This window comes from Homo sapiens, chromosome 6 (genome assembly GCF_000001405.40).
Source record: "Homo sapiens chromosome 6, GRCh38.p14 Primary Assembly".
Lineage (NCBI taxonomy): Eukaryota > Metazoa > Chordata > Mammalia > Primates > Hominidae > Homo > Homo sapiens.
Window position 1 is genome coordinate 136230537 of NC_000006.12, and position 25939 is coordinate 136256475.

Sequence of the window (25939 nt, forward strand, 5' to 3'; positions counted from 1 at the left end):
ATTCTAACCCTTTTCTTCATGGTCATAACTGCCACACAGCCACTCCTAACTGGAGCTGTTGATGTTGGTTCAACAGCTCAGTGATGTCATCTCTGTGATTCTAACCCTTTTCTTCATGGTCATAACTGCCACACAGCCACTCCTAGCTGGGGCTAGGCAAGCAACTCTCTACCACAACAACAAGAAAACTGTAGGAAACCTGGGCTTTGCTGAAAGTGAAGAGCTTGGCAAAATGGGTGGGGCTGAGTCCATTCCAGTGGTGACCTCAGCTCCCTGGCTGTTGCACACAGTCTGAAAGGTCCAGGGAAACATGTAAATTTCCATATCACATTAGTATGTGGGAGAAGAGGGACAAAATATCTGTTGCAAACTTATGTTTCATTTCTATTATCCAAGAAACTCTACCTATGGCATTCCTCACAAAAAACAACAACAAAAAAAGGTCAGACTATGTGGTGAGAAAACATGAATTTTGGTTGCTACAAAACACAAGCAAGTTCAAAAAGAATGTTTATTTTAAGCTCTATGTACAGAAGAACAGAGTATAAACGTAAAAAGGAACAAAGGAAACAAAAATGACAGGCATACATATTTACATAGCAAGTGTAGGCAAAATGTGTCAAGAAGAGTCTTTAAATACATCTACTTTTAGCCTTTAACAGTCCAAATCAGTTTCTAAGAATAATTTATCATCCAGGAAGAAGTTTTGGAAGTTTAAAGCTCAACCTTAAGTTGAGTTTAAATCCTTGAGTTTAGAAGGCTTGTGTTGCTGATACCTTGGTCAACAGCTTTTGTGTTGACCATTTCTTCTTTAGTTCGCTGTCCTTCTGACTGTGAAATGTGATGTCCAAACTGAAATAAAGCAAATATTTAACACAGAAATTATTCTAATGTCAAAAAAAAAAAAGAATGGCAAGACAAAGGCCAGATGACCCTCTGAGGTTTCATTCACAATATTTATTTACCGTATTTATTACTATAATACATAGTTATTTGGCTATGTATCAGGTACTACGCTCAGAGCCAAGGACAAAAGTGAACGAGACACTCTCAGCGGCACAGACTGAGCTCTTAGGCAACTAAAATTTGAGTCCCTATGTGCCCAGCCTGAAATTAAGTGCTAAAAACTATGTAAAAAAAAAAAAAAAAAAAAAAAGAAGATTATCTAAAATACTTGTAATTGGCTGGAAAAAGTGCTAAGAGACACTGAACTAATAGCAAGCAGTAAATGACAACCTAGAAACACTTCGTTTATCCACTATCACTGGGAAACAGTGTGTTCCACCTACGGGAACTTCTTACATAAATGCATCCTCAAATTTTCAAACATCCTCAAATTTTAAGAAACCAAGTTCTAGTCTCTGCTCTGCCCCTTAGATATGGGATTATAGGCACTACAGGGATCATTTCCCTCACATTTTCGGGGGAAAAGGGATTGCTGCTGTGAAGATCTAGTGAGATGAGTAAAAAAGGTACTTTGCAAGTTACAAACTGCTCTACAAATGTTAAAATTAAACATTTATTTTAGACACACTTGCATTTTTATAGTAATAGTTCTAAAGTGTCTTCTTAAATAGTTAAAAGAATATAATTTTCTAAGTCAACATGCTAAACATCAGATATATACACACACACACACAATGGTGAGCACAGAGGCTGCACACACTGGAGTGGCAATGTGTGTGTGTGACAAGTCCCTCCACTCTGTTACACTCTTTTTCTTTTTTTGTTTTTTTTGAGACTGACTCTAGCTCTGTCGCCAGGCTGGACTGCAGTGGCACAATCTTGGCTCACTGCAACCTCCACCTCCCGGGTTCAACCAATTCTCCTGCCTCAGCCTCCTGAGTAGCTGGAATTAATTACAGATGCGTGCCACCACACCCGGCTAATTTTCGTATTTTTAGTAGAGACGAGGTTTCACCGTGTTGGTCAGGCTGGTCTCGAACTCCTGACCTCATGCATGATCTGCCCACCTCAGCCTCCCAAAGTGCTGGGATGACCACGCCCGGCCCTGTTACACTCTTGGAGGGCTCAATGCATCTGAGTTTTCCAGTCTCTTCCTCTGCTGACGTCTGTCCTTCCTCAGTGCTATCTAGCTGACTTTAGATGCTGTTCCTCTTCCACACTCCTGTCATTCTCAAGGCTTATTCTTATGTGTTAATACTACCTCAACTAAATTAAGACATGTGAAAACCACCCCAAAATTAGAATTACTTCTAAATTTAAGAAAAGAGACTTCAAGTAAGGAGTAATCTTAAGGCTCAAATGCTTAAAATCCAGTGTTTGTCATCCTAGGCATCCAGTAAGTGCTGTCACTAAAGATAACTATAATCCCATTTGCTTTTTTACATGCAGAGTTAACATTATATTCAACAAAATATCCAAAGTCTGTATATTTGACAGAGAAAAATCTTGGCGTATTCACATTCCATATGGTTAGGGGGAATCTATTGCACCATTCTTCCCTGGCCCTCTCAAACTGTCAGACACCCAGTTCATACTGCAGATGGCAACATCAAATTGGCACCTAAGATAAGTCATTATAAACATATGCACAAATATTTTTCAAATTAAGTATTTTATTTCAAAAGAGCTCATGATAGGCTAAAAGTGAAAATGAGCATATAAAATTAACAACAAAAAAACCCCAGAAACATTAGCAGCATCAATAAACAATTATATAGCCCATTCTGCACAATTACTTCAAGAGAACTTGAACACAAAGCTGTAACATAAACAACACATCTGAGAAAAACTGAAAAATTAATTTTACATTAGTGTAGCTTACCCTTGAAGTTTCTGGACTAGAAAATGGGGAAGATTCCCAAGATCTATTCTCTTTCTCAAAAGAATCATCTTCTTGAAATGCAAATTTCTGTTTAAGTGCATGAGATATTAAAGAAACTGGATCCCAATGTGAATTCTGTCTTTTCCTCTTATGAATGGGTCTACCGCCAGGTGACCTATTTTTTAAAAAAAAAAATTGAATTTATTAAAACTTGGATGTAATTTTAGCTCCTTGTTGACAAACATGGCAGGAATACAAGCATATCTTACAATTTAATTAGTCTTCAAGAGATTGAAAATAATCTAATCTTCAAGAAATTTTCGCAATGAAATAAGGAAGGCACAATGAATGAAGAATCAGAAAACCAAGAACCCATGTGACTTGAGACTCTGCCATAACCTTGTTATGACCTGAGATTTGTCAGATGTCACTATGCTGAAGATCTTTATTATGGTAATTTTCTAATTTCCTAATGGGTAGGAAAATTCAAATAAATAAGAACTTTTAAAAGGACGAGAGTTCATGCCAAAAAAAAAAAAATTACGCAAATTGTTCATTTGTTTGGTTGTTCATTCATTTAATCTTCATTGAATGCCCACTACCACATCCGACTCCATTTTATGCTTTGGGAGTATTCTGCTCCCAATTCTTACAGCAAGATTATCATCAATATACAAGTAAGATCATTTGGCTGGTAATAAGAGCTGTGAATAAAACAAAACAGAGGCTGGGCACGGTAGCTCATGCCTATAATCCCAGCACTTTAGGAGGCCAAGGTGGGAGGACTGCCTGAGCCCAGGAGTTCGAGAGCAGCTTGGGTAACATAGCGAGACCCCATCTCTAGAAAAAATTTAAAAATTAGCCAGGCAACTACTTGGGAGGTTAAGGCAGGAGGATCACTTGAGCCAAGGAGGTCAAGCCTGCAGCAAGTCATGGCACCACTACACTCCAGCCTGGGTGACAGAGCAACACCCTGTCTCAAAAAAAAAAAAAAAAAACTAAATTAAAAAATAAAAAATAGGGAAATGTAATAGTGATTAGGGACAGAAGCACTTTAGATATGATCAGAAAAAAAGCCTCTTTAAGGAAGCAACATCCTCTTTAAGAAAATGACAAGGGGTCAGTTTTAGTGTAAACATCTGGGGCTGCATCAGGAAGGAGCTTGGCATGTGTGAGAAACGGAAAAAAGAAAGCAACTGCAGCTGGAGTGCAGTGGGCAAACATGGGGCATAGGAGAGGAGCTCAGCGAGAGAAGTGAGGGCTGGCTCCTGGAGGGGCCTACGGACACAGCAAGGGCTCTAGAACTGATTCAAGCACAACGGAAACCCACAGAAGAGTCTGAAGCAGGAGAATGGCCTGATCTGACTTCTGGTCACTATCTGCAGAATAAATAAGGAGGCAAGAATGAAAACAGATCACTGAGGAGGCTGCTGCGGAAGTCTAAGCTAGATAAGAATGGGCTTAGCCTGGGGAGTTGGCAGTGGAGGTCAAGAGGTCCACAGAATTGAGCTATGTGCTGATGGGAACGGTGGGAGATAGAATGGAAAATAAAGATGAAGGATGATTCCTAGATATTTGTTTTTGTTTTTTTGAGACGGAGTCTCGCTTTGTCACCAAGGCTGGAGTATAGTGGCTCACTGCAACCTCCGCCTCCCGGGCTCAAACAATTAATTCTCCTGCCTCAGCCTCCTAGTAGCTGGGATTACAGGTGTGCGCCATCATGTCAGGGTAATTTTTGTATTTTTAGTAGAGACTGGGTTTCACCATGTTGGCCAGGCTGGTCTCGAACTCCTGACCTCGAGTGATCTGCCCACCTCAGCCTCTCAAAGTGCTGTGTTTACTGGTGTGAGCCACCGCACCTGGCCTGATTCCTAGATCTTAAGCAACCGGGTGATCGTGTTGCCATTTGCTAATATGCAAAAGACGTGGGAAAGAACAGGTTTTCAAGGTGGCGGAAAAGAACAGGTAGGAAGGAAAAGTCCTGTTTTGGACCTGTGAAACGAGATACCTGTGAGACAGGCAAATAAAGATGTCAAGTAGGCATTTCAGTATGTGCATCTGGGCTCAAGAGGAGAGGTCAGGGCTAGAAAAATAAACGTTTGAGTCATAAGCATACAGCTGGTATTTAGAGTCATAGGACTAGGTGAGCTCACCAAAGGAAACAGCATGGACAGAGAAGAGAGGGGGCTGAGGTCTGAACCAGGTATTTCAACATTTAAAGACCAGGCCCAGGGGGAAGAGTTTAAGGAATAAGAAGGAATAGCTGATGAGGTCAGAGGAAACCTGGGGGTATGCTTTCCCAGAAACCAAGTAAAGAAAGTGCTCCAGGCTAGGCGCAGTGGCTCATGCCTGTAATCCCAGCACTTTGGGAGGCCAAGGTGGTCGGATCATGCGGTCAAGAGATCGAGACCATCCTGGCCAATACGGTGAAACCCTATCTCTACTAAAAATACAAAAATTAGCTGAGCATGGTGGCACATGCCTGTAGTCCCAGCTACTCGGGAGGCCGAGGCAGGAGAATCACTTGAATCCAGGAGGCAGAGGTTGCAGTGAGCCGAGATCACGCCACTGCACTCCAGCCTGGCAACAGAGCGAGACTCCGTCTCAAAAAAAAAAAGAAAGTGCTCCAAGGAGGTGGGGACCATAGGCTGTATCAAATGCTGCCAAGAGGTCAACTAAGACGAGCAATGCTAAGAGACCAGTGGATTTAGCCACATGGAGTCACTGGTGAAGCAGTTTTCAATGGAGTTTTCATGGGTAGAAGGCAGCAGCGATAGACAGAAACAAATTATAGACGACTTCAAGAATTCATATCAGAAAGGGGAGCAGAACAACAGAACAACGGCTGAGAGTACATGTGTTTTGAAGGTGGGAAGTACTCAGGTGTGAGGAGAAGGATGAAGTATAGAAGGAAGACTCAGTGATGCAGAAGGGCTCATTTTAAGTGAAATCCTTGTGAAGAGGAAAGAGAAGGGAAACCAGTAACCAAAGGAAGAGCCTGGCCATGAATGATGACACTTGGCTCCCAACAGCAAGATGGAAGGCAGAGAATCTGCACGGGGAATCTGTAGGTGTAAAGAGGTGAGAGAGCTCATCTGATTCCTCAGCAACGTACAAAACAAAGTTAGCTGTAGAGGCAACTCAGGAGAGAATAGGGGGACAGGAGGCAGAGGCTACTGGCCTTTTAGTTGTTTTTCCAGTGATGGTAACAGTCACAGAGTTGCCACTTGATACTAAGCCCGACAACACAAGTACAAGATCTAGTTGGGACCAAGCATGCACCTACAGCCATGAGATTCTTCTCAACAAGCTGCCTCATGCTCTTCCTGTGGTTACTGGTTTCCCTTCTCTTTCCTCTTCACAAGGATTTCACTTAAAATGAGCCCTTCTGCATCGTTGCAAGGATCAAACTCACAACCTCATTAAAAACAGAACTGACTTATCTGTCCCAGGACTATCATACAGAAAATATATCTATTTTCTCACCGAAAACCTCACTGAGGGATTTCCAAGTAAGCATGGCAAATCCCTTGTGAAATCCTACTAAAATGACAGTAAAGAAATGAAAAAGATCTATATATCCACAAGGACAAAGAGATTAGAAGGGGAGACAGGAGATAAGAATTGCAACCAGATGCCGGAAGCTGGAAAGCTGATGAAAGTGAGAGCATGGGGCGTGGGCGCCCTGCTGAACACAGGGCGTGTGCTAAATAAGACACTTCTCTCTTGCTCCTCTTTCCCCACTCAGCTCTCCAATGACCTGACTTGCACCCGCTGTGTAATCCCCATCCCTCCTGACCACAAGGGAGAATGAAGAACTTTCTAAGGAAAATCCTGTAGCCCAAAAGAAAAGACATACAGCTCTGGGGTGTGGCCAACAAAATGGTCCTCTCCCTAATCACTAAACTGTGAAGCTCCCAAGTTGATAAGCCCACCTCACACAAAGAACATGCGATCAGCTTTTCCTTGCCTCATTTTAAATAAGAATCACCAGATGCTTACCCAAGGCTACAAAACTAAAGATAGAGATCAAAGCTAAAAGGAAAAAAGAAACTCACAAAAAATACAGTAATTCAAGAACAGAGGAAACTTAAAACAAACCTACACTTTTAATACTGTCAGTGGGATAAGACCAACAAAACCAAAAAGATTTTAACAAGAAGCATTTGAAGAAAAAGAAACAGCTCTTAAAAATTAAAAATGTGGGCCAGGTGTGGTGGCTCACACCTGTAATCCCAGCACTTTGGGAGGCCGAGGCCGGCAGATCACAAGGTCAGGAGTTCATGACCAGCCTGGCCAACATGGTGAAACCCTGTCTCTACTAAAACTACAAAAATTAGCTGGGCATGGTGGCACGTGCCTGTAATCCCAGCTACTCGGGAGGCTGCAGCAAAAGAATTGCTTGAACCAAGACCCAGGAGGCAGAAGCTGCAGTGAGCCAAGATCATGCCACTGCACTCCAGCCCGGGCGACAGAGCCAGACTCCATCTAAAAAAAAAAAAGAATAAAAGAACATTTTTGGACATGCAAAGTAGTAAACTAATCTACCCTTTATGTTTCTCAGGAAGCTATAGGAAGATATGACATTTAGGAAATCAGTGATGCAGCATAGAAAAAAGGGGGCAAGAATGCTCAAGAGGTAAGCGAAGGAAATCCTTCAGGCACAGAGGGATCCTTGAGGAGAATCACCAAGAACTAAATGGAGGGTCATCCAAAAATTAGAAATAGAACTACCCTATGATCCAGCAATCCCACTTCTGGGTACTTATCCAAAAGAAGTGAAATCAGCATCTCAAAGAGATATCTGCACACCCACATTCATTGCAGTGCTATTTACAATAGACAAGACATGGAAGCAAACTAAATGTCTATCAACAGATGAATGGATTAAGAAATGGGATATATACATACAATATACAGCATGCTAAGTGAAATAAGCCAGTCACAAAAAGATAAATGCTGCATGATTCACTTATATGAGGCATCTAAAGTAATCAAACTGGGCCAGACACAGTGGCTCTTGCCTGTAATCCCAGTACTTTGAGAGACCGAGGCAGGAGGATCACTTGAGCCGAGTTCAAGACCAGCCTGGGCAACACAGTGAAATCCTGTCTCTATTTTTTTTAATAAGATAAAATAAAAAATAAAGTAATCAAACTATAGAAGTAGAAAGAAGAATGGCAGTTGCCAGGGGATGAGGGGAGAGGGAAATGATTACTGTTCAGTGAGTATAAAATTTCAGTTATGCAAGATGAAAAAGCTCTAGAGATCTGTTGTACAACATTGTGCTTAACGATACTGTATTATACACATAAAAATTTGTTAACAGAATAGAGCTCATTATGTTTTTTCACCACACACACACACACACACACACACACACATGGAACTCAGAGAGGCAATTATTAACTCTAAAAAAATTATTCAACAAATAAAATGTAGTCAAAATATATGAAATGGGGCCAGGCACAGTGGCTCACACCTGTAATCCCAGCGCTTTGGGAGGCCAACATGGGCAGATCGCTTGAGCTCAGGAGTTAGAGACCAGCCTGGGCAACATGGCGAAACCCCATCTCTACAAAAAAATACAAAAATTAGCCAGGCATGGTGGCACATGCCTATAGTCCCAGCTACTAAGGAAGCTGAGGTGGGAGGATCACTTGAGCCCAGGAGGTCGAGGCTGCAGTGAGCTGTAATTTCAACACTGCCCTACAGCCTGGGTTACAATATGAGAAATGGCTTACTGTGGATGTTCACTGTTATAATAAGGATATTAATTCTGAATACTCATTTAACTAAAGATTGTGGTTTAACTATTTCAGGAAGACGTGGCAAGATGTGTGTGTGTGTCCTGGGTAGAGTATCTAAGAAAATATATTCCTAATATCCTACAATTGGAAGTCAACATAATTAAAATATCAAGAAATAGCAAATAAGTATGTTGTTTCAAAAATATGGTGATAAGAGACTAGAAGAAGAAATAGTCAAAAATAATTGAATGTCATTATCTCTAGGAGAGGTATTCAGGGGTGAAGAAGAATAAGAAAAAAGACATATATGTTAATTTTCATAAACATAATAATTTTTCTAAACATAAAATTGACAAAATTTCAGTTCACTTTTCAAATTACAACAACATACCGCTCAATTGCACGAAGCTTAACCTTATTCATATCCTTTAGAACGTCCAACATGTTTGGAATATCTTTATTTCTCTGGCTTTTTGAATGATGACTATAATTGGTCTTATTAGCAGCCGGGTTCTGTTTGCTCATTTCAGTTGCTGGATTATCTGAGTCACAAATATTATTAGATCCTGGTTGTACGGGAGGAAAACACGGTGGCTGGAGAGATGAAAACTGAGGAGGAAGTGGTGGAGGAGGAGGAGGAGAAAGCACTGAACCTGGAAGCTGATCTGGGTCCACACTCAGATGGGCAGCCCGCGATGATGACAGCTGACCCAAACTAATGCGCTCGTCACTCAAGCCAAAGGAACCTACAAACAAAGTGGTTTATTACAAAATCATGCACAATTATCTCTAACGTAATATATATTAATAACACTAATTAGAACCAAAACAGGAGCAATTTCTGTAATGCTAGTAGCGATATGGTAGCAAGGAAAGAGTGTCAATCCCATCTGCTTAGTAATTTAAGAGTCAAGTCAAATTGTGAATTCATTTTTAATCCAGTTAGGAATTTTCAGTGTAGGTCCAAGAGCAGAGCGGGGAGGAGAATGCATCTTAAACAAACAAAAAAAAGAGTTTTTTCAGTAATTCACATACACTCTGAACTTCATCCTCTATTTTAAAAAAGCTAAAACAGAAATCAACAACTTGTAGTTAGAAACACAAATTGATGTATTCACTGTATAATGACATTGGAGAAATAAGCATATTATTTTCTAAGCAAAGCTTAAGATGGGTACTGAGTATTTAACTTTTCCACTTTAAGATTTGCTCATAAAGGACTGTGGGTAAACACGATTGCTTAAGAAAACTGTGTATAGTTATATATCATTTTATTTATTATGTATAAATATAAGTTATTGTATATTATATAATGTGTTTATATGTAAATGTTATAAATATACACTGTATAAATATCTTAAATTATATGTGTATTTATGCATTTGTATATATACATATGTATTAAAAAATTTTTAGCAATTATATTTACACACAGCCCTTTACAGCCAAATCTGTTGTGAAAAGCATTCAGTACCTAGATTGCTTTACATTTTATACACGCATACATACATGTTGTGTGTATGTGTGTGCATAAGTTTAAAGCAAGTTGTATCTCTATAAATTTATAAAACAATCATCTGGAAAACATGACTCACCTCAACTTGGTGGAAGTGTAGCAGCAATAACTAAAAACTATAAACATATGATGCCTCAAACCTATATCCTCTTTCAAACCAATGCATTCTTCCTCTTTAATATCCAATGCTTTCATGAAGAGTTAGAAAAGCTTACTGAGGGCCGGGCGCGGTGGCTCACGCCTGTAATCCCAGCACTTTGGGAGGCCAAGGCGGGCAGATCACGAGGTCAGGAGATCGAGACCATCCTGGCTAACACGGTGAAACCCCGTCTCTACTAAAAATACAAAAAATTAGCCGAGCGTGGTGGCGGGCGCCTGTAGTCCCAGCTACTCGAGAGGCTGAGGCAGGAGAATGGCGTGAACCCGGGAGGTGGAGCTTGCAGTGAGCCAAGATCGTGCCACTGCACTCCAGCCTGGGCGACAGAGCAAGACTGCGTCTCAAAAAAAAAAAAAAAAAGCTTACTTAGAAGACAACAGACTTTTTAATACAAAAATACAATCTTCTAGTATAGTAAAGCTAGTTCTTCTTTAAATCAAAGCCATCCCCTCACTACAAATGTGTCTTAATTTATCCTGAATAAACATCAGATATAATAATTTTGTATATTCAACATCCTTTTATGTACATTTAATGTTTTCATGGTACTTATTCAGAATTGTACTCACTTAAATACTAGATGTTCCTGTATGCTACTATACGTACTATATTCAGTACAGTATCATGCTGTACAGGTTGGTATAGGCTATACCATGAGTATCATCTAACTGAAACAAAAATCCTACTGTTACTTACTAGAATTTGTACTATTTTTCAGTTCCTGCATTTCCACAATTGCTGCAATCTGAGAGCGAAGAAAAGTCAGCTCATTTTCAAGGGCAGCTATTTTTCTAATTGCAGCTTCATTTACAGGCAGGTCATTTTTCACAGTTTCTTTCTGTCTTACAGCAGGTGACAGTGGATCCCGAACTAGTCGCAAAGGATGAAAAATTTCCACTTTCTCTTCTTCATTTTTCCATATACTATTTCTGTGGGTGAAAAAAAATAGGAAATGGAGGGAAGATATATTTCCAATCAAAAGAGGTATAAACTCTTACACTCCTACGTGAAAATCAAAAGACAATAAAACAAAATAAAAGCTACTCTCAGGCCGGGCACAGTGGCTCACACCTGTAATCCCAACACTTTGGGGGCTGAGGCAGTGAATCACCTGAGGCCAGGAGTTCGAGACCAGCCTGGTCAAAATGGCGAAACCCTGTCTCTACTAAAAATATTTTTAAAAATTCGCCGGTGTGATGACGTGCCCCTGTAGTCCCAGCTACTCAGGAGGCTGAGGCAGGAGAATCACTTGAGCCTGGGAGGCAGAGGTTGTGGTGAGCCAAGATCGTGCCATTGCACTCCAGCCTGGTCGACAGAGTAAGACTCTGTCTCAAAAAAAAAAAAAAAAAAAAAAAAAAAAACCTACTCTCTATCCCCCATGATTGTTTCTAGAGTCACCACTGAGGACAAGGAAAATATCTTATTTAGCTTTGTATTCCCAATATAAACAGAACATAGCCTCCAATGGAGGACCAGTCAGTGACCAGGGAATGAACAAAACAAACTTTGCTTTTAGATTATAAAACCAAAATAATTACCTGCAATTGTTCTACTTATTAACTTTAAACGCAGGTAAGTTAATTTATTTAGAAGTTCTATATAAGTTAATAAAGAGCCTTACATTCAGGATTATGTTAGGGTGAAATGTATGTTATTTTAACTATTTGAAAATTGGTGCCAGTTTGATACATAATAAAATCAGCCGGAATACTTAAATAATTGACACTTAATGTGCTTAGAGCCTGTATCTGAATATACTAACATATAAAGTAATACTCCCTAGGAGTAACACATCCAAATTTTGAAATACATTTAACATCATTGCCTGGTGCACAGTAAACAGTATATAAGTTTTGGCTAAAAACATGATTCTAATATCCCTTTAATAACCACTCCCTCCTAGGCCTGGTGTTAGGTTTAAATGTGCACTAAAAAAAAAACAACTGGCTAAAAAAATGAAAAGCAGCCAGTCTTCTTTATTAAGAAGATACAGTAGGGCACAGCACAGTTTGAAGATAAACAAAACAAAAAAGCTCAATCAATCTTAACAAGCTTCGACACATGCAAGAATTCAGTTTATAGCCCACTTCCCAAGATAAGCATATAAAATTACCGAAATCTGAGATAACTGGCTTCTTCATCATTTGCCACATACAAAATATCAGCAAAAGATGGAACCATAGATCCACAATTATCAGAGTCTACAGAGTTCAAGAGCGGGATCAACTAAAGTAAAAAAAGAAAAAAATAGTCAGAGCTCTGCAGGGAGTCAGGAGAAGACACATGCCCCATGGTATTAAATTAGTTAACAATCCAAAAGAAAGAAAAATAAAAAGAATATTCAATAGAAAAACATGTACCTGTTAGCACGAAAGAACACTGGGGAAAATGTTATGCTGAAGTCTAAGCACTAAGCAATATTCTCTCCCCTGGTTAATTTCATCTATCACAAAATGCAAAATAAAATTAAGCTCTTCAGTTATTGTTCACACTTGCCCATCTGTGAATGTCATTACAGACATGTACCACGTAACATTTAGGTCGATCATGGACTGCATATACATGGGGTCACATAAGATTATGATGAAACTGAAATATTCCTATCACCTAGTATTTACTATATTATACTTTTTATTATTATTTTAGAGTGTATTCCTTCTACTTAAAAAGAAAAGTTGGCTGGGCATGGTGGTGCATTCCTGTAATCCCAGCACTTTGGGAGGCCAAGGCAGGAGGATCAATTAAGGCCAGGAGTTCAAGATCAGCCAGGGCAACATAGCAAGATCCCGTCTCTACCAGACCAAAAAAAAGTCAGCCAGGTGTGGTGGTGCACACCTCCCAAGTAGTCCCAGCTACTCAGGAGGCTGAGGTGGGAGGATCACTTGAGCCCAGGAGGTTGAGGCTGCAGTGAGCCGTTATCACGCGACTCCACTTCGTTCAGCCTGGGCGACAGCAAGACCTTATCTTAAAAAAAAAAAAAAAAAGTTAACTATACCACAGCCTCAGGAAGGTCCTTCAGGAGGTATTCCAGGAGAAGGTATTGTTATTATAGGAGATGAGAGCTCCATGCATGTTATTGCCACTGAAGGCCTTCCAGTAGGACAAGATGTGGAGGTAGAAGGCAGTGATATTGATGATTCTGCCCTGGGTAGGCCTAGGCTAACGTGTGTGCTTGTGTCTTAGTTTTAACAAAAAAATTTTAAAAGTATAAAAAATTTAAAAATTTTTAAATCATAAAAAGCTTATAGAATAAGGATATAAAAATATTTTGTATAGCAGTACAATGTGTGTTTTAAGATAAGTATTATTACAAAAGAGTCAAAAATTTTTACAAAATAAAAACATTTATAAAAAAAGTTACAGTAAGCTAAGGTTAATGTATTATTGAAGAAAGGGTTTTTGTATAAATTTAGTGTAGCCTAAGTGTACAGTGTTTATAAAGTCTACAGTAGTGTACAGTAATGTCCTAGGCCTTCAAATTCACTCACCACTCACTGACTCACCCAGAGCAACTTCCCATCTTCCATTCATGGTAGGTGCCCTATACGGACGTAACATTTTTTATCTAATTTTTACTGCATTGTTACCATACTTTTTCTATGTTTAGACACACAAACACTTACCATTGTGTAACAACTGCCTACAGTATTCGGTAAAGTAACATGCTGAAAAGGTTTGCAGACTAGAAGCAACAGGTCATACCATATAGCCTGGGTGCATAATAGGCCATATACCATCTAGGTTTGTGCCAGTACACTCTGTGATGTTTGCACAATGACAAAATCACCAAACAACGCTTTTCTCAAAATGTATCCCCCCATCATTAAACGATGCATGATTGTATTTAAATAAACAAAAACACAAAAACATATATGAAATGGCTTGTTCCCAAGGGTAAACTACAGGTTTTTGGCTTGCAGGAAATGTTTCTTCCTTTGTTGTTCTACCCCATACCTGTAAGAGTACCTAGGATTATTTTGTACTTGGTACTTAAACAATTTATGTTGACTGACTTACCTCAAAATTAGGTCTTCGACAAGGTTCCAGTGGAAGCATTTTCCCAATAATACGAACAATACTCCTAGTTGATCCATAGTCTTTATTTTCCCAAATCAGCAAAACCTATTTTAAACATAAAGTATGAATTAAAATGCACTCTGATTAAGCATATTTATATAAGTATGAAAAAAGGAGATGTAAAAAAGACAAAAAAGACGCAGTGGCATTTTTTTTTTAATACAGGGAGTCCTGTAAAATAACATTTATTTTTAAAAAGAAATATAGAATGGCAGAGCCTTTCTTCAAAGAATAGAACTTTGTGAGTATTTGTCTTAAAAAGAGATGGTAGTAAACATATATACATTCCAGGAAGATCTTTTAAAAAGCACAATTCATTTTGTTCTATTTCTGATAATGTCCAATACCTTGGGAGAAACTTTGTTCAAAAAAATTGCATCCCCTCCCCCAGCTACAAATCCCATCTTTTTGGCCCAACCAAAAATAGACAATTTCAAATTATCAAGCAACGACGTAATATGGAGTATACTTATGTAATTTCCTTTAAAGGAGAAATAAAAAAGGGAATAAATAAATCAGGTCCTAGACAATTCAGAGTTATTTACATAAAGTGAAATATATCTGCTGGCAGTCAGCTCTTGAAAAGGCATTAGAAGTAATAATGTGCTACTATAGCTCAAATAATACTTCATCCTTTAGTGTGGGCTTCCCAAATTAGTGTAAACCATTGCCACAGGAACCACTCTCCCCCACCAGCCAAAAGATGTGATATAATAAATTGGACATTTTTCCTAAGATCCCAACTGATATAGGTAGCCACCTATTAGCATCCTCATTAAAACAACCAATAAACCGCCGGTCTCAGCTGTTAAACAACAGCAACAACTAACAACAGCAGGCTAAATAAACTGTGGGTTGTGCACCTGCGTTTTGATTGTGACCCATCATGTGAGGTCAGGTGTAAAATTTTCCCATTGTGGTGTCATGCTGGCACTCAAGACATTTGGGATTTTGGAGCATTTCAGATTTCAGGTTTTGAGTGATGCTCAACCGATAATATTTTTAAATTGCTAAGATTATTTTACATTTTTTTCACACTCAGTCTTCAAAATCCCTTATATAGGTTACACCTATAGAAGATCTCAATTCAGATATTTTGAGTACTTAAAAGTGACATGTGGCCAGTGGCTATCATACTGGATTGCACAGCCTAGAGGATATAGATCCCAGACCTATTACTAGTAGAATATTTGGAGGATTGAGCATTTATATTTAAAGTGTTCTACAGACCATTCATCTGCGTACCCCTGCTAAGAACAACAGGCATAGAGGCTTTGCTACCATGACGGCTACCTATGACATATACAGTCACCCAAGAGTTGGGTTAGTTCTTAGTTAATTTAAATGATACCTTCCTATCTTGCTCGGCAGTTTCCATCCTAATAAACTCTTGTCCTTCCTCTCATTCCTTCATTGCCCCTGGCCATCTTCACCATTTTCGTTGTTGTTGTTGTTTGCTTTTTGAGGTTTTTTTTTTGAGATGGGGTCTCACTCTGTCACCCAGGCTGGAGTGCAGGGCATGATCAGGGTTCACTGCAACCTCCACCTCCCAGGCTCAAGCAATCCTCCTACCTCAGCCTCTGGAGTAGCTGGGACCACAGGTGCACACAACCATGCCTGGTTAATTTTTATATTTTTTATAGAGACGAGGTTTCATCATGTTGCCCAAGCTGGTCTTGAAAACCTGAGCTCAAGTGATATGCCTGCCTCAGCCTCCCACAGTGTTGGGATTACAGGGGCGACCCACCACATCTGGCCATCTTCACCATTCTTATTATTTCATCTTCCCTCTATTCCTGGTCTAGTACCCACATTTTGACTTTACTAATTTTCCTACCAAGCATGGATTTTCTGGTTAATTATTTCAGTAATATGTTCAATGCCACTCAAAAATGGTTCATTCTTTTGATATTATGTGCTCCCACACTGCTAATGAATACACTACTGTAATTACTCTTAGCTAGGAAAAAAAAATCACAAAACGACAATATTTAGAAAAACTACAATTCCATGATGACTTCAGCTGGGTTCTCACAGGTATTCTGAAATCCCTTCATAACATGTTACATTCTATACCACATTGCCCAGAGCAGTCTCCAATCTCTGAAATCCCTTCTCAAATCCCACCACTTCATTACCTGCAAGTGACCTTGTCTCTGCTCTTACTGAGAAAACCGAGAACTTCAACTTGACATACCTCAACTTCACTTCTCTTACTTAGCTCCATTCAAAATCTCTTTTCAGGCCAGGCGCAGGGGCTCACGCCTGTAATCCCAGCACTTCGGAAGGCCAAGGCAGGTGGATCACTTGAGGTTAGGAATTCAAGACCAGCCTGGCCAACGTGGTAAAACCCCATCTCTACTAAAAATATAAAAATCAGTTGGGCATTGGTGGCAGGCTCCTGTAATCCCAGCTACGCGGGAGGCTGGGGCAGGAGAATCACTTGAACCTCGGAGCAGAGGTTGCAGTGAGCCAAGATTGCACCACTGCACTCCAGCCTGGGCAACAGAGCAAGACTCCATCTTAAAAAAAAAAAAAATCTCTTTTCACTCTCTCTCACTTTCATTCTGTTCTTTAAGGCAGGACAGTCTCTCTCCTTTCCAAGACTTATTTAATTAGATCCCTTGCCCAACTACCTTCTCAAAGGCGGTGCTCAATCCTCTCTCATGTGGATCTTAAATTTCTTCCTGTCTGTTTCTTCCAGAGTGATGACAAATATGCTGAAGTTACTTCTAACTTTAAAAGAAAAAGAAAAATTCCATCCTGCGGCCCCTTCAGGCTGATGGCCTCTCTCAATTTCTTTTCACAAGCAAACTTTTCAAAAGAAGGTTGCTGATCCCACCTCCCTTCCTGATATTCTTCAAACTACTCCAACACAGTCCCATTCTCCACTTACAGAAATTCTTAAGGTCACCAATAACCTAATAGTGATAAACAAATGTTCAGCTGTTATCTTCAGTCTCTCGATTACTGATATTTAGAATGTTTCAATCACATCTAATGACATTTGCCATTATCGAAGTCCATGGCTTTAAATATCAAAACAAAGCAGATAACTCCCAAAACTGAATCTTTTTCTTTCCTACATACTAAAACCATATATATATCCAATTGTCTGAAGGATATTTCTACTTATATGTTCTAACATCACCTCTGACTCACCTCATCTCCATATTCAAACTAGTTTCTCATACTAAGATGCCCATTTATAATAATGGTACTATGATTCTTCAACTTACTTTTGCTTTAAAAAAATCTTAAATTATCCTTGACTACTTTCTTCTAATTCACCCCACCCGTCTTCCTTACAATCTCATATTACAGTTATCTTTATTGTTTCTTATTCCTCATATTTTAAGCATTATGAATACAACCATGTATTACTCCTCTGTATTACCTGCAGAAACAAGCATATTGTCTTAGATACAGCAGATTTTCAACAAGTAGATAAAATTTGATTTGCTTATGATATGGTTTGGCTGTGTCCCCACCCAAATCTCACCTTGAATTGTAATTATCCTCACGTGTCAAGGGTGGGGCCAGGTGAAGATAACTGAATCATGGGGGCAGCTTCTCCCATACTATGCTCGTGGTAGTGAATAAGTCTCATGAGATGTGATGGTTTTATAAACAGGAGTTCCCCTGCACAAGCTCTCTTGCCTGCCACCATGTAAAATGTGACTTTGCTACTCATTTGCCTTCAGCAATGATTGTGAGGCCTCCCCAGCCATGTGGAACTGTGAGTCAATTAAACCTCTTTCCTTTATAAATTACCCAGTCTCCGGTATGTCTTTATTAGCAGCATGAGAACAGACTAATACAGCTTATAATTCTCAGGCCTAAATCATCCTCTTTCCATTAGATTTATTCTGGATTTATTGAGCTTTAAATATTGAACTTGTTTATAAATTACCTTGAATAGAAGTTTTAATGTATCTGTGCAATAAATGTAATTCTGTGAAGCTCATGTCTATATTTTGCTTCCTTTGTATCTTCTGTTGGCATTTGTCCTATCAGGTAAATATGTTCTCAATAATCTTATCCCTCTTCTAACTCAAATCATCAAAGCTATACTATTACAAACTCACCTTTGTTCCAACTAAAAAGAAGCAACAACTTTGCCTTAAATCAAATGATTACATATAAGTCATTTTCAAAATGAAACCCAAGAACAAATACAACAGATCCATTCCAATCCAAAACGACATTTACCTGTTCTACAGGAACGCCAAAATATTCCAGCATCTCTCTTAAGATATTCAGTATGAGAGACATTGATGAAGCAAATACAGAAGCCAATTCAAAGGAACATTATCAGTTTCTTGGTGCCTTTGGGGAAAATTTTAGAAAATGTTACTCTTGACAAATAAATGCCAAATTGTACTACATAACCTGGAAAAGTCCTCTTGATACACGACACAGTCAACTAATTTCTCCTAGCCAGCATTCTTTTAAGTCAGAGAAAAAGAAAGGAAGGGGAAGTCTGGGGGAAAGAGAGGGTTGTAAAGGAAATTTCAATTAATTGGTTAGATTACATTAAAACCTCGTAGGATGTTTGAGCCTAGTTAATAGAGACCAATCAACAAACTGGACATCTACTTAGTAGGCAAGGCTTCAAGTTACATGCCACAGCGAAGCTCGCTCTTTCCTGAAAGCTTTGGGCTGAGACTCTTAGCAGATGGGTGAGTTTAGCCAACCCTTGAAAGCAGGCAAGGGACGACTCAGTTTTTAAAAAAATAAACAGTAGCTCTTCTCACACACATATCCTCACGTGTCAAGGGTGGGGCCAGGTGAAGATAACTGAATCATGGGGGCAGCTTCCCCCATACTATGCTCGTGGTAGTGAATAAGTCTCATGAGATGTGATGGTTTTATCAACAGGAGTTCCCCTGCACAAGCCCTCTTGCCTGCCACCATGTAAAATGTGACTTTGCTACTCATTTGCCTTCAGCAATGATTGTGAGGCCTCCCCAGCCATGTGGAATGCCCATCCCTCCTCACTCTTTTAAAATGAGAAGCATGAATTCCAGATACGGGACGTGACTTGGTCACCCATCTAGTAACAGGCCGTGACCAGAGCCGGATCGCGTCCCTCGCTTTGGTCACAAGCTTCCTGGTGCTCTCCAAACACAGCGTGGTAGCCTTGCTCACCTTCCTCCGAAGCCGAGCCCCCGGGAATCACCAGAACATCAAGCGGAGGGCGTTAGGAATCCTCAATCAAATTCCAGACTGCGCCACTCCTTGTGCAGATCGCTCAGACGTCTACCCAGACCTCGACCCAGTTTCCACCCGCGCGCCTCGGCTTGCAGCCACAGGCGGTAACGATGCCCTCAGCGAGGAATAAGAGGTCAACCCGGTGCCCAGCCCTGGAGCCTCACGCTCAGCCAGGGTAATGTTATGGGAAGCGCGCCCCCGTCCTCCTGCGCCCAACCAACCCACCTGCTAGTCCCTAGGACCGGACTGCTACTTCCGCATGACAGGACTGCTACTTCCGCATCCCAGGACGAAATCAAACTCCGCGGGCCAGGACCCGTAACCAGCCTCATTGGGCAAAACTGAAGATCGCTGCTTCTGATTGGTCATTGCATGATGTCAGGCAATTCGGGAAGCGACTGCTTTTCCTTCTCAAGAGGCGGGTCTTCCGAGAGTCAGCCAATAGGAGCTGACGGGCAGGGCAGGTCGCGTTAGGACAGCGTCGCTCCCGCAGGGCAAGGTTTTAGGTACAAACTCGTGAGCTGGACTCGCAGTCCGGAGTTCGTACCCCACAGAACTCTTCGCAGGGAGTGTCTTACTCGCTACAGCCGGACCCTAAGCGCATCCGCCTTCCCAAGTTCATCTGACACAAAATCGCGATTTATTTTTTGGTCATTTCATTTGTTCAGCTAATATTAAAATACTTGTGGAACTGGCAGAAGCCAAGCACTACCCCCGAGGGTTTTGCAGCTTTGCAGTGGCTAGGATTCATTCTTTCGTTCACTAAATACACCTACGTATCCAGGCTACCGAATATTGGGCCGGACACTCTCCTGGCTTAGCCGAGGATGGCAAGTGATATGACAGGTGATATCCCAGTTTTCATTTCTGATTTGAGGTTATTGGCTTCATACGAAATAGCTTCCTCTTCTGAATTTCAGCAAGACGTGCACTGGAGTGATATAACAATTTAAGATGTGTGCCTGCTACTGACATAATTTGAAAATCTAAGTTTTGAACTAATTTATCTATGGTCAACATCACTTATTCATTCAACCAATAATAGATATCTACTACGTAGCAGACACCATTCTAAGCACGGAAAATACCTTAATGAGAGGGCAGGTCCTCGTCCTCCTGGAGCTTACAGGCCAGCGGGGCATCTCGTTCCATTCTAACCCTAATTTGCTTTTCTCTATAGCACTTATCATATATATTTAGTTACGCTTCCACTACCACCAAACAAAATTGTAGACTCCAGGAGAACAGGAAGTTGTTTTGATCCATGCTCTATCTTTCCCCAGTGCTTTAGAAGAGTGTCTGGTATATAATAGGCATTCAGTCTATTTGTTGAATAAAATACCTAAATGTGGAATGACAGAAAAGATGATAATGATTTGGGACTAAGCAACTAGCAAAACAATTGATAGCAATAATAGTGATATGCCCAGTAGAGCTGGATACGGCTGAGTGAGCGCAGAACAAGGATGATGATGGATCAGAAACCCTAGATGGAGTAATTTTCTCAAGTTCCTTGTCCTTCCCTTTGCCCTTGTGAATAAATCACGACTTTATAACCCCCTCCCTTTCCCACTCTCTTATCAAACAGCAAACAGACAGGGCCAGAATGAAAACATCCCTCCAGAATGAGAACGGAACCACTACTCTTCCAGCTGCACTATTAACATAGGTTAATATTCCAACTGATTTAAGTAGCAAGGAGGACCCAGGTCAAATACTACATCCATAAATGCTTTGCTGACAACTTTCTTCTAAATTCTTCAGAGATATTTCTTCCAGTTTACTAAAGCATTCATAATTCCATTTTGACAAAAACATTTTATGTGATTGGACATCTTTTTCCATTGCTCATTTTTACACGAAATTAGATTTTCCTGAACTCTTAGAATGAGATAGGGTCCAAGAAAGCTTTTCTGACATCACAAAGCTAGCTTTTCTGTTGTCTCTGAGTAGTGTTCAAAAATATAGTGGCTTGCTTTCTGGAGTTTTCCTGTGTTCCCCTCCCCCAGTTTGATCCAGGTAGAAAACTTGCTATTCACAAGCTGCATGTTAACACTTTTTAAAGTATCTAGTTGTCAAGTATTAGCTCATTATATTGAATTAGCTCACTATATTGAGCTAGTAAGTCTATGTCCCTAAGATTTTTTACCTACTGACTCTGATTTCTGTCCTTTAAATATGTAACATGTTAAAATGAGGAGATCGGACAAGTATCAAATACCAGTCTCCTGATCCTATGTGATTTGAACATGTCTCTTCTCTAGCAAAGCCTTTTAAGGATTTGAACACAGCAATCAAGAACCTATCTTGGCTGGGAGCGGTGGCTCACGCCTGTAATCCCAGCAATTTTTAAGACAGCCCAGATTGTATTTGTTTCAAGCAGCAGCAGCAGACATAAAATTAAATCAAGCCTTTATAAATACGCAATTATCATTCTTTCATTTATACACACTCAAGGACCATTTATTACATAACTACAGTATGTATGCCATGCACAATACTAAATGCTAAAATTTTATTCTGGTGGAGACATGTAAATGGAATGAATTACTAGCCTAAAGGTATGTGCTGCATTCAGTGGCCCCTGAGCAAAAAGAGGAATTGGAAATTTTTTGCTAGGGTGTAAGACTTAAGATAGGTAAGTGAACAAGGAGTAGCATAAGGCAAAGTGGCCAAAAACAGTACATAGGGAGTTCCTACAGCTCATCATGACTGAGGTTCAGACAACAGGAAGACATCAATGCGTAAATTTTGGTTTTAAAATGACTGTAATTTTGCACTTGAAAAACATCCCAGAGATGGCAATATAAAGATGAAATTTATGGGTAGAGTCCAAGCTAAGAGACCAATGCAGCAGCTAGGGATAGTGATGAGCATCTATTATTGGGGGTTGAGGGGGGACGGCGGGGCGGCAGTGGAGAGAAGACAGAACACTTTATAGGGATGTCCAACTAGCTTAATGGATAAAGAACATAAGTTTGCAGTAGGATGGGGTACAGATGATGACAGTTTGGAGTGTTTAAGTTCCAGCAGAACTATCCAGGGAAGAGTTGGAGAGAAAAAATGGAGTTCAGGAGAGAAGTTTAAGAGGTAAATTTCAGAGTTACCAGCATCTAGATAAAAATGTTTGAAAACCTGTCATTCACAAAGTACTTCCATCCTTGTTCCTTCCACATACCAATGTTATTTACTATTATTTACTAATTTTTGCTTCCCTCCCCCCCCCTTTGTAAACTTAGCCAGAGACAGTAGCTGTGAAATGCTGGATTTGAAGTGCTAGAACATGTTTCACACTAACCTGAAATATGACAGCACCATGAAAACTCTTTATGGCTGTTCCAATTACTTTCAGGGCTTCATCTGAAATCTGTATTGCCTTTCTACTTCCTTTTAAACAATAGGTTGTTATCTTTTATCCTTTGGAATATCTGGAATATTCAAATGGTTTAAAATGGCAAGAGAACTTTGTATAATGGTAAGCTTGGAAATTTTGAATAAAAGTGGTATTTAAAATAATGTGAGGAAAGTTCGACATTGAAAATGAATAATTAGGCCGGGCGCAGTGGCTCACGCCTGTAATCCCAGCACTTAGGAAGGCTGAGGCGGGTGGATCATGAGGTCAAGAGATCAAGACCATCCTAGCCAACACGGTGAAACCGTCTCTACTAAAAATATAAAAATTAGCCTGCCGTGGTGGCCAGCGCGTGTAGTCCCAGTTATTTGGGAGGCTGAGGCAGGAGAATCACTTGAACCCGGGAGGTGGAGGTTGCAGTGAGCCAAGATTGTGCCACTGCACTCCAGCCTGGCGACAGAGCTAGACTCTGTCGCGAAAAAAAAAAAAAAAGACAATAATTAGCACTGAGAGGTTTAGTTTGATCACTTACACTTTTCTCCTACACCTTATCCTACTATACATAATACCTTATGCCAGAAACTCTTATTAGCTCAGGAGATGATCCATTTTTGTCTAAAATCCCTCTTATGTAAGGCAGTCATATTCCTTGATGAGCTTTAAACAATTTAGCACTGGGTTGGCATTATCAGGGGATTCTGAGGTATTAGATTTTCTCAGATGGATATTTAACCCTTTAGACAGCTGTCACACCTTAAAGCTTTTTCATCAAAATTTTTATTAAATATAACCACACATTTCCAACTAATCTTTTATGACTTAGGATTAACACTATGATATTGTGTTGTTCGGTTATGCAGTGATACTCCTAAACATTACTTAGCCAGGTGGGACTTACCTTGACTTTTCAACCCACTAGGGTATTTTAACTTTAGTTCTGCTGTCCTTTTCCTTAATGGCGACTGAGACTATCACAGGGCTTCTGCAAACGGTACATTCAAAACAGACTGTTGCTGTTATATATATGAAATTTATTACTGGGCAGTGTTGTTTGAGAACTATTTTTGAAATTTCTCCATAAAGGATCTGCTCCTTACCTGCTTTGTTGTATCAATACATCTCATTTTCAACTTATTCCCTCAGTGTAACACAGTGCAGGACTCACATTTGTCCAGGATACCAAAAAATTATGTTAAAAAAAGTCAACATACCATGTGTCTAAAATTTTTAGGCTTCCCAGTGTTTAGGAAAGAGGCAAGTCTAAATAGATGAACTCTGAATGAGAGACAGAGAACTTGATCCTCAAAAGTATCAAAGAGTTATTACAAGAATCCTGATTTGCATATTAATACCCCATTATTTGGAGCTAGCTCATTCAAAAACTAGAGCCTATGAATATATTATATAATGCAAGAAAATATTTTCACATATTATAGTGCAAGAATAAAAATGAGAAAAGGACAGAGCCTTATCTTGTTGCTGCTCTAGTGCCTAGCTCATACTTAACTAGTGAAACATAGAACTTTAAAACTGCAAGTTATATCCATGTGAACAGTTGCTTTAAGAATATACATCCTAATCCAATTACTCTGCTAGATATTCCTAATACCTGGAGCACTACCATATTCAGATAAGATGGTTTTAAGGCCTCTTATTATTACTGTTACACTCTGGCATCATGCCCTCAGCCACCAGAAAAAAATGTTGCAAGAAACACTCATTTGAAAACCTGTTCCTATTCTAGGAAGACTTATTCTAGGAACAGCAACATCTAAATGAAAACCTAAGGACAAGTATCTCAATATTTGGTAGCAGGAATAGTTATGCTTCCCAGAAGTGGTTTCATTTGACACTGAAAATTGCATACCTTATTTCCCTTTTTCATGTAGCTACTATTGGCCAATTCAAGCTCTGAATCTTTTTCCTTTAGTGACAGACTAGCCAAATACTTATTTCCTAAAGTGTTGCCCAAGTTGAGAATACAGAACAAAATCAAGATGTAATATTGTCCTGAGTGGGCCAGACAGCTAAATCTGTAACATGAGAAGCCATATGCTATTTTTCCCCCAATTCTCTGACCTCCCCACACCTCAACTAGAGCTTTACATACTAAAAGCTAAGATTCCAGAATCATTTTATATAACTCAGTTCTGTTAACTGAACCTTATCTTTTGTAAAGGACAAATATTCATGTTTATATAAATATGGAAGATTATCTTAAGGTTATATCAAGGGAAAGAAGTATACTTTGAAATCTAGAAAGGACTCCAAAAACAATGTGTTTTAGTTTTCCAGTAAGTCATGAATGGAACTGTTAATTTTTTCCTTTTAAATAAGCAGCCATCGATTTTTCACTCCAAGTTCTATCAGACTTTCATGACTTTTACATCCCATTTTCCAATTAAAAGTACAAATTAAGTTTTAAGTCATTTCTCCCAGCTGACAAATCCCCTTACTGCAGTATCTGAACACGATTACTCAAAAATCTGATTCCTCAGTTATATGCTGAGGTGGTATTACTCTACAAGTCTGTATCTTCAAGCCATTTGAATAGTATGCTGACATTAATCAGTTAATTACTGTAATCTTTTTTTTTTTGAGACAGAGCCTAGCTCTGTCACCCAGGCTGGAGTGCAGTGGCATCATCTCCGCTCACTGCAGCCTCCACCTCCCAGGTTCAAGTGATTGTGGTGCCTAAACCTCCCGAGTAGCTGGGATTACAGGCAAGTGCCATCAGCCCAGCTAATTTTTGTATTTTTAGTAGAGGCGGGGTTTCGCCATGTTGGCCAGGCTGGTCTCGAACTCCTGACCTCGGGTGATCTGTCCGTCTCAGACTCCCAAAGTGCTGGAATTACAGGCGTGAGCCACCACACACAGGCCTATCTTTTTTTAAAGTACATTTGGTAATGATATTCAACTTCTTCCAAAAACAATTCTGGAGTGGGGAAATCTTTTGGTAAGGTAAAAAATAAAAAATAAATTAAACCTGCAGGCTGGATATGTGAGAAGTAAATTAAAATTTAAAAATTCTGGCCAGGCACAGTGGCTCACGCCTATAATCCCAGCACTTTGGGAGGCCGAGAAT

At 39.8% G+C, this 25939-nt stretch overlaps 1 protein-coding gene across 5 annotated transcripts, besides 2 other annotated features; it reads right to left on the bottom strand.

Moving 5' to 3' along the window:
* Positions 1–497: 497 nt before the first annotated feature.
* MTFR2 (mitochondrial fission regulator 2) lies at positions 498–19775 on the bottom strand. 5 transcript variants are annotated; one of them, NM_001318738.2, is made up of 9 exons: positions 19728–19775; positions 18501–18617; positions 16925–17024; positions 14229–14333; positions 12325–12437; positions 10908–11140; positions 8930–9284; positions 2789–2963; positions 498–852 (listed from the first exon to the last, which is right to left on the bottom strand). In NM_001318738.2, the coding sequence occupies exons 4-9, from the start codon at positions 14265–14267 to the stop codon at positions 739–741; spliced, it is 1029 nt and encodes a 342-aa protein (NP_001305667.1). In that variant the 5' UTR covers positions 14268–14333; positions 16925–17024; positions 18501–18617; positions 19728–19775; the 3' UTR covers positions 498–738. The 5 variants fall into 5 exon arrangements, with proteins under 5 accessions (NP_001305667.1, NP_612428.2, NP_001092756.1 ...); NM_138419.5 differs by lacking the exon at positions 16925–17024; NM_001099286.3 differs by lacking the exon at positions 16925–17024 and having other exon boundaries at positions 19440–19775.
* Positions 19225–19444: an enhancer, noted in NCBI's record as "active region_25109". NCBI's record gives its function as "activates an Ori minimal core promoter by ATAC-STARR-seq in GM12878 lymphoblastoid cells {active_cell/tissue: GM12878}" and the evidence as "EXISTENCE:reporter gene assay evidence [ECO:0000049][PMID:35858748]".
* Positions 20095–20244: an enhancer, noted in NCBI's record as "active region_25110". NCBI's record gives its function as "activates an Ori minimal core promoter by ATAC-STARR-seq in GM12878 lymphoblastoid cells {active_cell/tissue: GM12878}" and the evidence as "EXISTENCE:reporter gene assay evidence [ECO:0000049][PMID:35858748]".